This window comes from Homo sapiens, chromosome 12 (genome assembly GCF_000001405.40).
Source record: "Homo sapiens chromosome 12, GRCh38.p14 Primary Assembly".
Taxonomy (NCBI): domain Eukaryota; kingdom Metazoa; phylum Chordata; class Mammalia; order Primates; family Hominidae; genus Homo; species Homo sapiens.
The window spans coordinates 46,778,941-46,795,093 of NC_000012.12; the positions used below are offsets into that span (position 1 = coordinate 46,778,941).

The 16,153-nt window shown below is 36.7% G+C and overlaps 1 protein-coding gene across 3 annotated transcripts in view; it reads right to left on the reverse strand.

The window, feature by feature from the left end:
* Positions 1-16,153, reverse strand: part of SLC38A4 (solute carrier family 38 member 4) — a 67,671-nt gene that overhangs the window by 14,180 nt on the left and 37,338 nt on the right. For all 3 annotated transcript variants that reach the window (XM_005268997.3, NM_001143824.2, NM_018018.5), the window contains 8 exons: positions 14,013-14,243; positions 9,588-9,678; positions 8,976-9,091; positions 6,164-6,237; positions 5,602-5,694; positions 1,009-1,090; positions 840-922; positions 671-729 (listed from right to left, as the gene is read on the reverse strand). In XM_005268997.3, coding sequence (XP_005269054.1) covers positions 671-729; positions 840-922; positions 1,009-1,090; positions 5,602-5,694; positions 6,164-6,237; positions 8,976-9,091; positions 9,588-9,678; positions 14,013-14,131 — 717 coding nt within the window. In that variant the 5' untranslated portion in view covers positions 14,132-14,243. The remainder of the gene's footprint in view (positions 1-670; positions 730-839; positions 923-1,008; positions 1,091-5,601; positions 5,695-6,163; positions 6,238-8,975; positions 9,092-9,587; positions 9,679-14,012; positions 14,244-16,153) is intronic.

A 16,153-nucleotide genomic window follows, 5' to 3' on the forward strand; every position in this document is an offset into this window, starting at 1 on the left:
GGAAGAGTTGGAGCTGTGATTGGCAGCCCTGCCTCTTAGAGTTAACAGGACAATATTTTGCAAGAATCCTTCCCACCCTCTTTCATGCCCTTCCATGAGAAAGATGATCATTTCCTTATTTCTTCAAACTAAGGTGACATGGGTCTTCAAAACTTTTTTTCCTTCTCCTTTACCTCTTTGGGGAAATGCTTTATAAATTTTGGCATTCATGATAGTGCAAGAAATTCCCTCTTTTGTCAGGGGCCTAGAGAGGAGGATTTCTTCTTTAATCCCACTGTTCTTGTCCTCTCTTAATGGGTGGAATGTGTAAGAGAGAATGGCTGATTCATGTGAATATGGGTATAGCCTTCTTGTTTCTCATCTGGGACTCTCCTCTGCTGTTCTAAATGCCAGATTATTGTCATGTTCCTGCTTGAAGTTTTCCTTTTTTCCCCATATATAACCAGTGTGCCTAGACCAAACCATTAGTAGTAGCTTTGATATTCTACCTCAACTATCTTTAAATCGTAGCTGCTCTTTTTTTGCTCTAAATTAGTCTACAAGAAAATCACTTGTGATACAAGAACTATTTCATATTAGTGAAGTGCTTGAACAAAATGAGGACACTAATTTAGGCACAAAAAAACTCATGCTAACCAACCTGCAAGGATCATGTCATCACATCACTTACCACACTAACAAAAAACACCATGCAGGTAAGAGAAAATCCACTGGTATAGCCAAGATAACCTAGAAGTTAGAAGAAGCATTTTGGAAGGTGAATATGGCATCTACAATTAGCTAACCTATTTAAATGTGAAATAAAAATAAAAATATTTCCAGTTAGAAAATATCTTTACCTAAATTTTTAAGGAGCGAAAGTGGAAGAATAATTCCAACAGACACAAATATGATGAGGTAGTTGCCATTGAGGTACCATTCTCTAGAAGTGAGAGACAAGGATATTAGAATCAGAAAAGACCAAGTAGAATGAGTCACTTGATGTCACAGAGGGAGCATAAGACATACCCAGTATTTTCTTCAAGTCCCATGAATGCTCTGATTACTTCAGGTAGTTCATATTTAATGATAAAGAGGTAGCTTGACATTGCTAAAATGGAAAATGTGACAGCTTAATGGTGTGGACAGTACTGAAGTCACATGCAAGCAAGTTATGACATTTGGGATATGTAAGATGAACATCTAATCCCCCAAATGGAAAAAAAAGTCATTGTGTATTTGGCACTGCTTCCAAGTTCTCTTCCAAGATAGACATTTGACCTTCCAGCTCTTTCAGGTGGACCTTTGTTAACAGTATCAGGGCTGATTCTGTGTTAAATCCTGCTCCAAAGTTTACAGTGAAGCTGCAGTTCTAAGGTTCTGCCCTCATTAGTTATAAATCAACATAGCCCATACTCAGTGTGCCTGTGTTAGTGTCTATAACTTGGGCAGTAGTCTGGCAACAAAAGGCATGGGCCAGCTGAGAGATGGCAGAATCAAAGGGCAGATCTGCAGAGTCAATATATCCCCTCTGGTTTTCTGCAGATGGGCACCAATCTAGTCCTCCGGGACCTATCTGAGGAGTACACAAAGTCTCAGACCACTTATTGTCAGAACCAAAGGCTTCCTGGATTGATAAAAGAATACAAGAGATGACAGCTTCTCTCCATCTTTGTCAAAGAAGTTTTTTTTTTTCCCCCCTCTTCATCTTACTCTCCTTTTGGCTAACTAAGGAATTATATAAAGTGGCAAAATTTCATGAGCATCTAGGTAAGTGATACATGAATGATTATCTACTCTTGTGAAAGATTTCTTGATGAAATCTACAAGCCTTCTCCCTGAAAAAATGAATATGTATTCATATACATAACATTACAATTTTGCCTACAACTGTAAATATTTATGCATCACGCCTTTTTCAAGCCCACCCATTTGGTGAAGGATAACGTTAATTTGTTGACACATGGCCAAAAGATTCAGTTAAAAATAGAACTCACAAATTTTACATGAAAACTTTAAGTGTGTCCTACATCCTTCTAGTGAATTTTTGCTAACAGGCACTTTAAAACACATACTTAAATTGTAAATTAAACTACTGAGTTTAAAAATATTTTCTTCACTTCATATGAAAGTAACAGTGATGATAATAATTCCCCACATTGGTTAGTTCTGCACATTACTTCATTTGATCATCTGAAAAACCCTGTGAGATGACAAGATATATGTTGTTATTCTCATTCCACTGATGAAGATATAAAAACTCCGAGATGTTAAGTTGACATGTCCACAATCATACAGCTTGAAAAGGACGGACTACATCTAAAACAGAAGGGCTGGTGCTTCTTCTGTACTGTCAAAGTGAAATGATTTTTACAATAGCGGATGTACCTTCTGTACACATTATTTGGTTAATCTTTGCAAAGACCTTGGCTAAAGCTAAATCTTACAGAGTGTGAACACAGGAGATATTTCTGATTAGCTGGCTTGGTGAGGTACCATTCAATGTTACAGCTATTAATTGCTGGTTTTCAGTGATGTCAGTGATGTTAACATGTTTGGTCTTCAAAAATTCAGAATGATCCAGACATTAATCTGTTAATGTGAAAACATCTGCAGTAAATGTTAATTTTTTAGGGGATTGAGAAAATTAAGTGTTCTAAATGTAGAGTTGTTAAATAGAGAAATACAAGTGATTTCTCTTATGCCAAATATCAACTAATCAAATAAAGTAACCAAAGTGAGAGCATTATTTCTGGGGTGATGTTACGATATTTCATCTTACTCCCTTAAAGTCACGCCTCTTACCTGTGTGAGGCTTGACTGAGAGACCGCTTTATACTTTATTCCATTGTTTAGAAGCGTAGTAGTGGCTATGCTTTGAACCACAGCTGAGGTGCTGCCACTCAACTTCTTGAGTCCAGGGTTAATTATGCTTATGCCTGGTTATTTCAGTTGTTAAATTAGACCAACTATAAGGCAATCCTATGAAATGCTCGATACTTTAAACCTTGATAAGGCTGAGAGTTTGAAACAAATGTAAAGTGGTCTATTTGTTGGGATTTGGGGGGCTAATATGCATATGGCTCCAAACCAGTAAAATGAATGAGACAATTTTGATATTACTGTCAAATTCTACCCAAGATTGTAGTCTTAACATATAAAAATTTTTTTAACACAAATCATAAGATATGGCTGAATTTTACTTATCTGCTTACCAACTATCCATTATCAGGGTGAGTATAGTTAGATAGATTACTAAAGAAATTTCTGCATTCCAGAAATCCTTGATAACTCCAGTGAATTTATTTATTAAAATGGGTTGCCTGTTTGCAAGATCTCTGTGCAAGTGTATTTACTGTAGCATTTTTATAACAGTGAAAAATTAGAAACAATCCAACTGTTCATCAATAAGGATACTGTAAACAAATTATGGCACATTTGTGTAATGGAAACCTCAAAAATCATTAAAAAGAATAACATGCAAATATATTCAAGGCATATTGTTAAATTTAAAAAGAAAGCTGAAAATCGGTATCATAAGATGATCCAATACTAACAATATTCAATGTATTTGTTGAATTAGGCATAGGGGAAAACCTATGAGTAGTTATTTCTGAGGATGACTGACATAAACTTTTCTTGGTAATTTATATATTTATGCAGTGTTTTAGTTTTTCACAATCATCATATATTTGTTTTATAATTTTTTAAATGCCTATTTAAAAAATAATTCAGGCAACTCCAGAGACATGGATATGGAAGCAGAGAACCAGGGAGGAGAGAAGCATATACAGAACACTTATTATGTGCCATATGTTACCTTATTTCATCCTCACAATAGCCTTTGTAAGGTAATTTTTATACATGAAAAAATTAGACAAAGGAGTACAGTGATCTTCCCAAGTTCACAGATAGTGACAGAAACAGACTCAAATTCAGGTCCATCAGACTCCAAAAGCTTATTCTCTACTCAAGTGTTTTAAAATATCCTTTAGAAAACAGTAACATACTAGATACAAACAGGACCATGAGAGCCCAGAGGAACTAGTATTTACCAGTCTAGAGGAGCAATAGACCAGGTGAGCAGAGTGAGAGAGAAAATGTGTGTGTGTGTGTGTGTGTGTGTGTGTGTGTGTGTGTTAGGGTTGGAGGACTTTGAGAGACAGTCAAGGGGAGAAAGTAGCCTGTGAAAAGAAGGCATGGATGATTTTTAAAAATATTAAAATAGTACTGTTAGGGGAATAAATATAATTTGTTATGGTTTGACACAGGACATGTAGGGTATAGATGATGGATAAATTGATAGATGATAGATAGATAGATAGATAGATAGATAGATAGATAGATAGATAGATAAAGATAGATAGATATGGGCATTGCTAGGAAAGGTTTAGAAAGATTGAGCAGAAGAACTAGACGAAGATCTTGTGTCAGTCCAATGAGTTTAAGTTTTTCCTTGAAAATAATAAAGGCATGCTGAAGAATTTTATGCACGACAAAAGTAGAAACAGACTCAAATTTGAGAAAGTTTATCTGGAGAACAAATTAGAGTTTATCTGAGAGCAGGGGAAACTCAAGCCAGGAAGACCAGTTAGAAGACTACTGCAATAGTCTGAGCTATAAATGGTGATCATCTGTGGTCATGAGGACGGACAGAGAGGAGAGGTTCAAGAGATAAGTAAGAGATCAAATGAACAGACTTTGCCATTTGATTGGACATGCAGAGTTGGGGAAAAGGAAACATTTACGCTGACATCCAGATTTCTGCCCTCAGAAACTGGATGACTGCTGGTGGTATTCACTGAGAAAAGAAAGATCAGAGAAATAGAATAGCAGGTTTAGGGACTGGGTAGGAGGTGAGGGAGTAAGTGTCATTATGTGGGGAGATGGCTGGGGCCATGTGCCAGGAAGCAGCCGGCAGGACATCTGAAATATGGGTTTGGATGCCTTCTGAGGGCCAAAGACACAACAGAAACAGTATGAAGCTGGTGGGCAAACACACCAACGAGAGAACATTGTTAAAAATATATATATATATTTCTAGGTCCTACACTGGAAATGATAATTCAGTGGGAATTATAAGAATCCATAGAATCAACAAACCGGGGTTTATAGTGCATTTGATGCCTAGCCAGACTTTTGCCTTAGTAAACTTCCAGAGACACTGTCTAGTGGGCTGGCTCAGTGCAGGCTGCGTTTCAAGGACCACAGCATTTGGCTATGTTCCCCCAGACAACCACTTTTCAGTTTAGTAAATCGAACTCAGTCACACATAGAAAACGTCAACTGTTTTGTCAATGACAGATATAAGCACAAATTCTTCAATTTTTAAGAGTAATAATTCATGCTGTAATAACATTAAAAATCAAGAAAGCTTTTATTTTATATTTTAATTCTAGAATTCAATTGGCAGGGTTTTATATGTTATTTCATTCTTAGATATTGCTGTTTTTAATTAAAGCAGGACACAAACCTATTTAAGAAACTATCATTTTAAAATTTAAGAACTATAAGTAGCAATTTTTCTGTATCTAAAGTGCCTGTTTATTGCCATAAGTTTTCTTATTTATTGAACACGCTATAGAAAGTTTATGGGATCCATTGAAAAGTATATCCCCTTACCTCCAATGTTCTGCATTGTAATGGAAACAAAAGCTCCAATTTTTCCCGGCCATCCAAATGCCTTTTCTCCTAATTTTTCATAAATCAAAGACCCTACAATCAAAGATAAAATAGCCTTGTTAAAGAGATTGTTTTAATGACTAAAATATTTTTGTCATATAATTCCATGCTGGAGTCTCAAACATGTAAATAAACATCATATAGAAATTATAAGCCCAAAAGATGCAACCTCAAAAACCAATAAGCAATATATCAAAATGTTCTCCAAACAAGAATCAATGGTTTTATTTATTTTAGCTGCATGTAGCAAGTCAAAACAGTTATTTCTATCATATATCAGAAATTTCTTTTTTCTATTTGTCTTGAACCTGAGCCAGTTGACTTTCACTCCTGCCTCTCACTTGCCCAAACAACTATAAACACTGAGAGATCGTGTCACTGGGCTCAGAAGAAAATGAAATGTGAAACTGACTATAATCATCCTAAGGTTATGAAGCAACAGACTGAAATACTCTTTTATGAGAATTAAAATAGAATGTGTTGGACTCAAGTGGTAGCATACCTCCTTCCTTGGCTGTTTTTAATAAAAGGTGAACTGAATACAGTGATAATATTGCCACAGCAAGCAGCATGATTCTGCAAAGGGAAGAGAGAGTAGGTAATAAAGTTTCTACAATAAATAAAATGTAATTATGTTAGATGTTACAATAAAGGATCACATTAATCTTTTCAATCATCAGCTTTCCAAAAGTATGTGGATTTGGGGGAGGCTGAGAAATTCTTTTCAGAACTCTACACATACCCTTTAAAGTCGTAGAAATAGAATTTGCTATATTTTACATACCTGAAGTCCCTAACTTTTTTAATGTTACCCAGTGGTAGAATCTGGTTCATAACTTAGATGCTAAATGTATAGCAACATTAGCAAATGCTACATCTACTTACTCAGCACATGGGAATATGTACATCATATTTGCATGATATTCACATCAACACTTAGAATTGAAGGGCTATTCAATAGCCTGACTAAACCTTAATCTGAAATCTAGGAATCCAAAGGCGAAAGCATGCAGTCTGAGCTGCATTACTGCTGATCCTGTGCATTAGATTACGAAGTACTTTGTAAGATAGAGGGGCAGGCAGTTGCATATATAATAGAGAAAGCAGAGAAAGCTAAGGATGGGGCACGAAAATTCCTTTTTTTTTTTTTTTTTTTTTTTTGCATTCAGAGTTATTTCTGGTGTTAGGACCCCCACATGCATGTATGGTTTCTTTATGTTTATACGGATTGGTATTTTTCCAAATCCAAGATTTGGAGCACAAAAATAAGAATGTTGATAGAAGCATCTACGTAATAAATGGAGGAGCAATGCTGCCTTTTACCTGGAATTCAGAAAAAAAATCTTTATCTTTGTTTATTTTTAAAAAATACACTTTCCCCACAATTGATCTAATCCCTTGGTAATTCCCAATGAAATCAATACTACAAATGTACATTTGGACCATGAATTATAAATTTTATAACCCCTGTAGCTATGTTGCACTCTTATTTTCCATAGAGTATGTTTGCCAGAACTGTCTAACCAATGACTTATTCCTATATTTTTCCATATGCCTTATGAACTTAACTGTTTTTAAGGAATAATGTAATTCAGATTATATAATTTTGTTCCCTGGAAAAATAATGAGCATTCCCTGTATTCTAAACATGTACTTTCTCTGGCAGAAAATACTAAGAGTAAAACCTTTAAAATACTGTGTCACTTGCTATAAATTAAGAGAGAAAGCTTAATCCAGTCTGGGCTACTTAGACACACAAAACACACCCCATGATGTTTAGTGATTTAATTGTTCTGACCAAATTCATCTGCTAAGTGTTTATAAGCCTAAAATGAGGCCCTCATTTTAAAAAGTGGAACATTCTTCTCTCATGAAGATGATCTATGACTGTGGGATTGGGGGAAGTTTTTCCTATTTCTATTCATCAGTGATCTGTAACTTCCTAATTCATTTTAATGGTATGTATAATTAATAAGGAAAGGCAGCTTTTTTTGTCTTAGAGGTAAGCACATTACAAAAGCATACAAATATATGACTACATACATAGCTATTAAAATTCAGATTATTAAAATCCTAGTTTATTTCAAAACATGGCTTATATAAAAGTAAAGTTGATATAAAAACCCATTCAGCTGAAGAATATTATACATAAAAGAGTTCAATCAAAGCACTAACACAATACAAATATTTATAGTCCTGATGCTTAGCCCTCAAATAGCTGTGTGATTACTAATCATATGTGATATTCAGAACATAAACAGCACATATTTGTGATATAAATGTTGCATTCTTAGACAGTTATTTAACTCTCTAGCGTTGCATTTGGGATTAGGATCTGTGTCCACAGTGGTGCCTAACATCAGACTTTATTCTTGTGAAGAATTCCACTGCTGCCAACTATATCCTGGAAAATGCCAGGCTGTACATGATGCACATAAACGTCTGTTGTTGTCTGTCATAGACAGTGCAGTATCCACCCTACAGGTCAACTACCAGATGCTGCTACCCTTAGGCAGCATTTGAACAAGTTTGGTGAAAGTACGTAGGTTTAGGAATAAGGTTTGGTCACTCAACAAATATTGCCTGTACCAGGCACTGCTCTAGGTTTGGAGGTAGAGACATTGGTGAGTAAAAACAGACATGGGCTCAACTTTCTAGAGCTTATAGTCCAGCAAGAGGGACAGATATTAACCAAATGAATCAGACAAATGGCACTAAAACATTAAAATTGTGGTGAGTGTTATGATAAGGTGATTTGCCCCAGTCATGGAGATCAGGGCGCGCAGTATTCAGGTGAGACTGAACTGACATATGAGGAGTTAACTAGATGAAGAAGGAAGAGAAGAGGGTTCCAAGACCATGTGCAAAGGTCCAATGGTGAGAGGGAATGTGGCATCTTCATAGGATGGAGAGAAGGCTATTGTGCCCAGTGTATCTGTCGCACAGGGGTACAGGGAATGGGACATAAGGTAGGCAAGGGCATGCAGGGCTCTTAGGCTTGGTTGCTTCTTTCCTAAGAATGAGATAAAATCAGATTTGCTTCTGGGAAAGATCTTTTTGGTTGCTAAACACCAAATTATTTCAAGTATTTACTGAATAACAAAATTCTTCTGGCGAGGCTGCTCCAGCACTTTGGTTGATTGAGCACATACACTTTCTGCCGTTGGGTTAGGGATGGTTGGGTGACCAAGTGCCATGATTAGCCTCCTCTGAGTCTTCACGTTCACAAAGATCAAACTTGAGATTGTTAATTGAAAAAGCCACCAGGTATGCATGGACTTCATCACCAAATGTAGACATATACATTCACTTACATAAAAAGTATGATCCCTGTGTTGGCCATGGCATAGGACAAGCCCAGGATCCCACTGCCCATGATGGCATTACTCAGGTTAAATGAAGACATTCCAAAGGAAGTGGTTCCGGGATGCTTGAAAAAGAAGGGATGTATTATAAGCAAACATTTGCCAAAGGGCATACCTTTAGGGGTTATCCTTATTCTCACATTATCTGCAGATTACAGTCCAAAATTGAAGACTAAGATAACATTACAGGAGTAAAGCCATTACTCAACATCAATAAAAGCATGTAATTTTCAACGGAATGCAGTGCTTGGTTTCAGCAGAGGCCTCAGTAAAAATACAAATTACAAGGGGAGTCACATAAAGAAGGGAAAACATGTATGATTGTAGATTACCTTTGGGTTAGAATGATTTCCCCCCAAAACACATAAGTTTCATAAATGATTCATGCAGCCATATGGCGAACAGGAAAAAACAAGCCCTTATTCCAGTAAGAGCCTGAATAAACACAGAATGTGCTGATCAAGGCTTGGAAAATTTCAGTCACATTGTTTTCCCACAGAGACCTAGGTAGATCAGACACCCTCAGTCCCGTTTATTGCCTGAAAGCATAGATTCACTTACGTGTTCATCAGCATAATCTGCCAGCTTCTTTTTCCCCAAAAATCCATTTGTCAGGAATTTCTGACTTTCAGTGTCTTCATTAGCAAATTGACTGAACACACACACACACAAATAAGAAAGTGAAAACATCTAAATATATGCTCTGAATCATATGTATGTTTCAGGTGATCTAAGTAACTGAATCAGAGGAGGGGAAATAAGACACCCCAATTTTCTTTTCCTCCTTCACACTAACGGTCATTCCAGACCAACAATTTTGAGTTCCATTTACAACTATACTTTGGGATGGAAGAAGGATGTTATAAAGGAAGGAAATATTATTTTTAGTTAAAAAATTGTTTATACCACATTCCCTCTTTCTCACATTAGCTATGCAAGAGACTACAACTAATTGTGTTCCCATTTAGAGCCCTTCCAAAGAAAGAGTACAGGGTTATGACAGAATTTTCTGAACTACTACCATACCATAATCAGATGATTTTATTAATTCAACGAATATTTATTAAATGCCTAGGCACTGTGATCCTTATCTCATCTGATGTTCAAAATATCCCTATAGGGAACTGTGGCTCAGAAAGGTGAAGCAGCAGGCCCATACCCACCCATACCCAGGGGGAGACCCCATTCTCCCCCTGGCATCAAGCAGTCCCAGGCAGGGCCCTGTAGCTGGTATTTTCTTTCTTTTTTTTTTTTTGGTACAATCATTTATACATACATCTCTTACTGGAAAGTAATTCAGTGGTAGCTGTGTGTTGTGTTGGTTGTTTCTGTGTGTGCGTATGTGTTTTAATTACTCTCAAAATGTACATGGATTATTAACAGATAATGAATGAAACTAAGGAAATTATTAAAGCAATTCAATGAACTGGCAAAAGAGTTGGGAGGGAAAGAAAACTTTAAGATGTCACTATCCACAGAGCGTTGTGATTCTGGTTTTCTTGGACACAGGCTAGAAGATGTACAACTTGGTTATAGAGCTGTGCTGGTCAGCTCCTGCAGTTACAAGCCAGGGCCTTTGAGGCTACGGACCTAGGACCAGCCACATTTCCAAGAGGCTCAATTAATAAGGCCTGCTGCTGCCATTGCATTTTTATACTGCAAAATGTCACAGACTTTTTAGTTGTTTTTATATAAAATGCTCGACTATGTATAATTTTAAAAGTGCTTTCAAATTGAGGGTTTGAAAATTTTAGGACATTTCCTACATGAAAAGAAAGATAAAGAAAGATAAAATAATTGAAGATTGTTCTATTAATATAATCCTAGAGGCCAGGCACAGTGGCTCACGCCTGTAATCCCAGCACTTTGGGAGGCTGAGGTGGGTGGATAACTTGAGGTCAGGAGTTCAAGACCAGCCTGGCCAACATGGTGAAACTTCGTCTCTACTAGAAATACAAAAAGTTAGCCGAGTGTGGTGGCAGGCGCCTGTAATCCCAGCTACTCAGGAGGCTGAAGCAGGAGAATCGCTTGAACCTGGGAGGCAGAGGTTGCAGTGAGCCGAGATTGCACCATTGCACTCCAGCATGGGCCACAAGAGTGAAACTCTGTCTGTCTCAATAAATAAATAAATAAACCTTAGAAATAAAATAGAAAATAATTATTGTAGGAGATCTGTACAAGCTATTTTTTATAACAGAAGCTAATCCTGAAAATAATCTGGAGAGGAAAGAGGATGACAGGGTTACTTTTTGAGAATAGAAAACAGTATGAGATGTAGATAGAAACAGCACACGAAACCACAAAGTTGTATGTGCTTTTCTAGAACTCAAGGCATAAATAGCTCTGAGTACACAAGTTAAGAACATTTCCTAGCCTTCTCCCCATATTTCTCACAGAAAGCACAATGCCCTCAGTTGTTGCCTCTTTCCATTTCCATTCACCCCCCACCCACTGCCCACCACTCTTTTGTGGTTTACATTAATGGTCTGTAATTAATGTACCTGCTATGTGAAGACTGGTACATAATGTTCACAGTTGGAGACTGAGATGACAGGATAAAATGAAGCCTAAAATGGGCCTGAGGACTATAAAAACAAAAGTGCCACCTAGAATTTAAACTCTGGAATCTTTATTTTAATCAATAAACTAAAATCTGTATTCCATAGTAGTTTTTAAAATTGAGAATTTGAAAGTAAACAGATTTTCTTTCTTTGAGGCATTTGCATGTTCTTATTTTGGCATGAGATGAGTTGTAGTCATTTAACATGCCAAGATTGTATAAAATAGATGAGAAATGTCCCCAGTATGTTAAATGTTTTGATACCAAACCCAGCATGTATTGAAAACACAAGTATAATGATCACAAATAAATACATTATGTTGAATTTCTCAAAAATTTACATTTAAGGGTTCAATCCAAACCACACATAGATAAAACCCATCTCTTTAAACTGATTTTAAAAACTGCAAAATGATGTCCTATGTTTAAGCCAGGAGATAAAAGGTAAGTCACTGTGAGTGGTTCGGAACACATTGCATGAAGCTTAAGAAAAGCATTCATGCTCTTTCTACTCTGGCTTTTGAGGATCAAGTGGAATGACACTATGACAGTTCTTAGGAGGGTGTCCCCTTTAACTCTGTCAACCTCGGCAGAGCTCATATTTGTGTGCATGCCTTTCAGAAACATCCTCAGGTTTGAATCAATTTACTGAGGGTAATGCAGTGAAGGAGAAGTAATAAAAAAGTATTGAATGTCATCTATATTCTGGTCACCCATCTCATCCTTGAAAAGCAGCTGTTGGTTTGCCATTTTACATTTTCCATTGAAGCTCAAAGAGGACAAACAGCTTCTCTAAAGTCAGGCAACTACTCTGCAGACTCCAAAGCCCTGTCTTCTAGCACCCTAGTGTTTCTTCAAGGGTCACCTAATTTAGAAAATGCTATAATTTACATCTCAGTGGCCTCTCTAGTCCGACATCCCTAAAGTTCATTGCACTGAGCTACTTGAAGGAAGAACGGTAGTTTCTCCTGATGGATTTTCCTGGGTGTTGTAAATAAAATGAGAAGTCTTTGTTTGAGCACAATATTCTCTATTTCACGCCTAGATTTGGTCAAAAATTCCCTTCTGAGCATCTTAAATCATGTACAATTTGATATAACATTTTGTGGGAAATCAATTGACTTATCAAATAACTATTGTGCACTCACTATGCACCAGACAATGTGGCAGGTGGTGGGACCACAGAGGCCATTAACCTGTAGTAGTGGCGTAATTAACATCTGCACAGGGAGAGGGTACATGAAGGAGGGGCAGTCACTTCTACATGGGGGAGTAGAGTAATTTGGAAAAGGCTGCATAGGAGACCTGATGTTGAGCTGATTCTTGAAGGATGAGAGGTGTCAACACGGAGAAAGGGGGAGCAGGTGACTGATTCCAGGCAGTTGGAGCAGAATGAGTGAAGGCAACAAGTAACAAATAGGGAGAGGGCAAAAAACAGGACAGGAGGGGCAGGTCAAGAACAGATCACAAAGGACCTTACGTGCCCAGCAGTGTGTGTAATCTACTTTCTCTTATGGCTATTGGAGAGGTGCAGAAGGGCTTTATCTAAGGATGGAAATTGATTCAATTTGCAATTGTAAGAGATTGCTCTTGCAGGAGTGTAGAGGGCTAGACAGAGGAGAGCAAAATGTAAGACAGGGAGAGAAATCAGGGCTCTCTCCCTGTCTCACATTTAATGTAGGCCTAACGTAAGACCACAGTAGAATGGGTACAGAAAAGTAGGTGTATTTGAAGCATTAATAAGGTCAAACCAACTGGATATGACTGACCGTTGGCTATGTGGGTCAAAGTTTACACCTAGGGGCTTTTGAGTGAGTTGCTACATGATAGCAGTGATTTTCACTAGGATGGGGATTACTAGAGGAGGAGCAGGTTTTGGAGGGAAAGATAGGAGTTCAGTATTAGACATTACAGGTTTAACTTTATAAATGAGGCAATTTAGACACAGTAATGGTCCAGTAGAGACGTGCAGTAGACATTCAGATATAATTATCTGAAATTCAGTAGAGAAACTTAACAGGCTGGGTATATGGCATATATTTGGAGGGTGAGGCCATAGTAGTTGTGAGTGAGCTTGCCCAGAGGATACTTTTAGAGAGAAAAGAATCCCTACAGAAACCAGGAGGTGTAGCAACATTCAAAGAGGAATCTGAGAAAGATAAGAGGAGCAATAGGCTAAAATAATTAAAATTATTACACATTATTAATGGAGACAAAGACATTGTAACCTCAATTCTAAATCAGTCACAAAAGAGATTGACATTATCACTGTATTTCAGGACCAGGGAATTGATGTGCTAGCATCAATATCATTGTTATCACAAATTTACCTGTAATAAATCCAGTTCTTCCCATCAAGACCCTGTTTTCCATGTCCACATCCTGTCTTATTTTTCCATGGAACATAGTAATTTTTAACCCCATACCTGCTCATTGCTGCCTTTTCTGAATTTCCTATCCCGATGTAGCTATCTGGAGCACTTTCTCCACTGCTGCTCTCATCATCTGGTTCGATGTTGACATTTCTCAGTTCCATGGGATCCATTTGAGCTGTCAGCGCTTTCTTGTCCACACACAAGCCCCTTCAGTGTAAATAATATACTGTACCTTCAGCTTAAGGTTCTTCCACTTTGTGTTGATGTTCAGAACACTCTGTTCTGCAAACAGAACACAACATACATCATTATAATTTTATTTAAATGAAATAAGTGAATATGAATCATCTACATTTTGTATGCTCTCTGTAAAAGGGAGGAAGGAAAGAAACTCCTGAAAACTTTACATAAGAAAATCCTGAAATGTTCCTTTACCCAATACAAGAAAGGAAGAAATGGAAGAGAAGAAAGGAAATTACTAATAATTGCTAAATTAGCAGATATTTATAGAGTGCCTATGTATAATGAAAATGGCAGGTTTTACTAGTCACTATGGAAAAAAAAAGAAATCTTAAGACATGGCAGCAGTCTTCAAGGAAATTTAGGTATTTGTGAGTGGGATACATGTTTTAAAAGAAAGGAAGACAAAAGTAAATTGTTGACAGAGGAAGGTCTACCAAGGCAGAATCTACCAGTGTCTCTACTAGCAATAACTAGAAAGAAAATTACTGCTTTAATTTAATTGGACATGAAAGAATTAACACCACCAAATGCTTGATAATATGCAACATAGGTGAGGATCAAGTTTAGGAAGTAACTTTCTAGGCACTTGGATCCTGAAGCCAAAGTTAAGAATAGTAACAAAAGAAAGTTCAGATTTACCTCTGGGTCAGCATTACTCATCATCTGTGTCAAATTAAAATGTATTTTAACAACAAAGAGATCTAGATTTTAGCCTCTGCTCTGCCTTTAATTCATTGGATCTCAGCAGAAGTCATTTAACATTTGGGGACCTCATTTTCCTCAATTGTATAGTGAAAAGGGGTGGACTGGCATTGTGTTTTTGAAAAATGCCTTGAATCTACTATATGTAGTTGATATAATTTCTTCTGAAATTCTTACCATTAGATTCATTCAATTATTGTTGAACCATCGTATTAGGAGAAACACTATCATTCTTGAAAAGTGTGGTCATGACATGTGCAATACCCATTTGATAAGGAAATCTTGAGCAGAGAAACTAACATAAAAATTGCTCCAGAAGTCACAAAATGTGCTATTCCTCTGACAAACAGAAACTACCACATGGGAATACCTCCACAACCCAGTGCCATGGCAGTACTTTTTTGAAAGGCAACTCACACTTGAGAAAAGTTCACATCCTCAAATTACAAAACATATAGAACACACATGGAAACTCACTAGCAAGAGTGCCAGTAGGCACAAGAAATGATAAAATTCACATCTAAGGAACTACAAATAACAAAGCAATTTAAAAGGGACTTTTACATTAAATTAATAAAAAGAAAGACATTTTGAAAGAAAACATTCAAAATAAGAGAATAACTTTCACAGAATAAAAACATTATAAAGGAATATAAAAGGAGAACAGGCTGTTGCAAAAAGAGTCAAAAAAAGGAATTCTTAAAAAAAAGAAAAAAATAGAATCATTGAAATTTAAAAAAACTCAGCTGAAGGAAGACTTATAAAATTGAAAGACAGATCTGTGGAAATCACTCAAATTATAGCATGAAGAGATTAAAAAAAGAAAAATACAAATAAGAAGTTAAGAGGAATGGGGAAAAAATAAGAATTACAAGTTCAAATATACACTGATAGTCATTCCAATATAGAGAATTGTGAGACTAGGGTGAGACAAAACAGAAAGAGATAATGGCAGAGAATTGTCTAGAAATAAAGAAAGCAGTTCTCAGAATTTAAAAAAATAGCACACAGTGTTTTAAGCAGGAGGAACAAAAATGAAACTATTATTAATATAAGGCAGCCTAAATGTATATACATAAAAGATGAAAAGAAGCAGGTTAAAAGCTAAGAGAGAATAGAAGTAAGACATGCATATGGGTAAAAGAAAAAAAAAAGAAACTCACTAAATGAGTACAAAGGTTTTCCTCATTCTTCACACAGTACCAGTCTCACTTCCCAGCAGCAACCACTATTGACGGTTTCTGTTT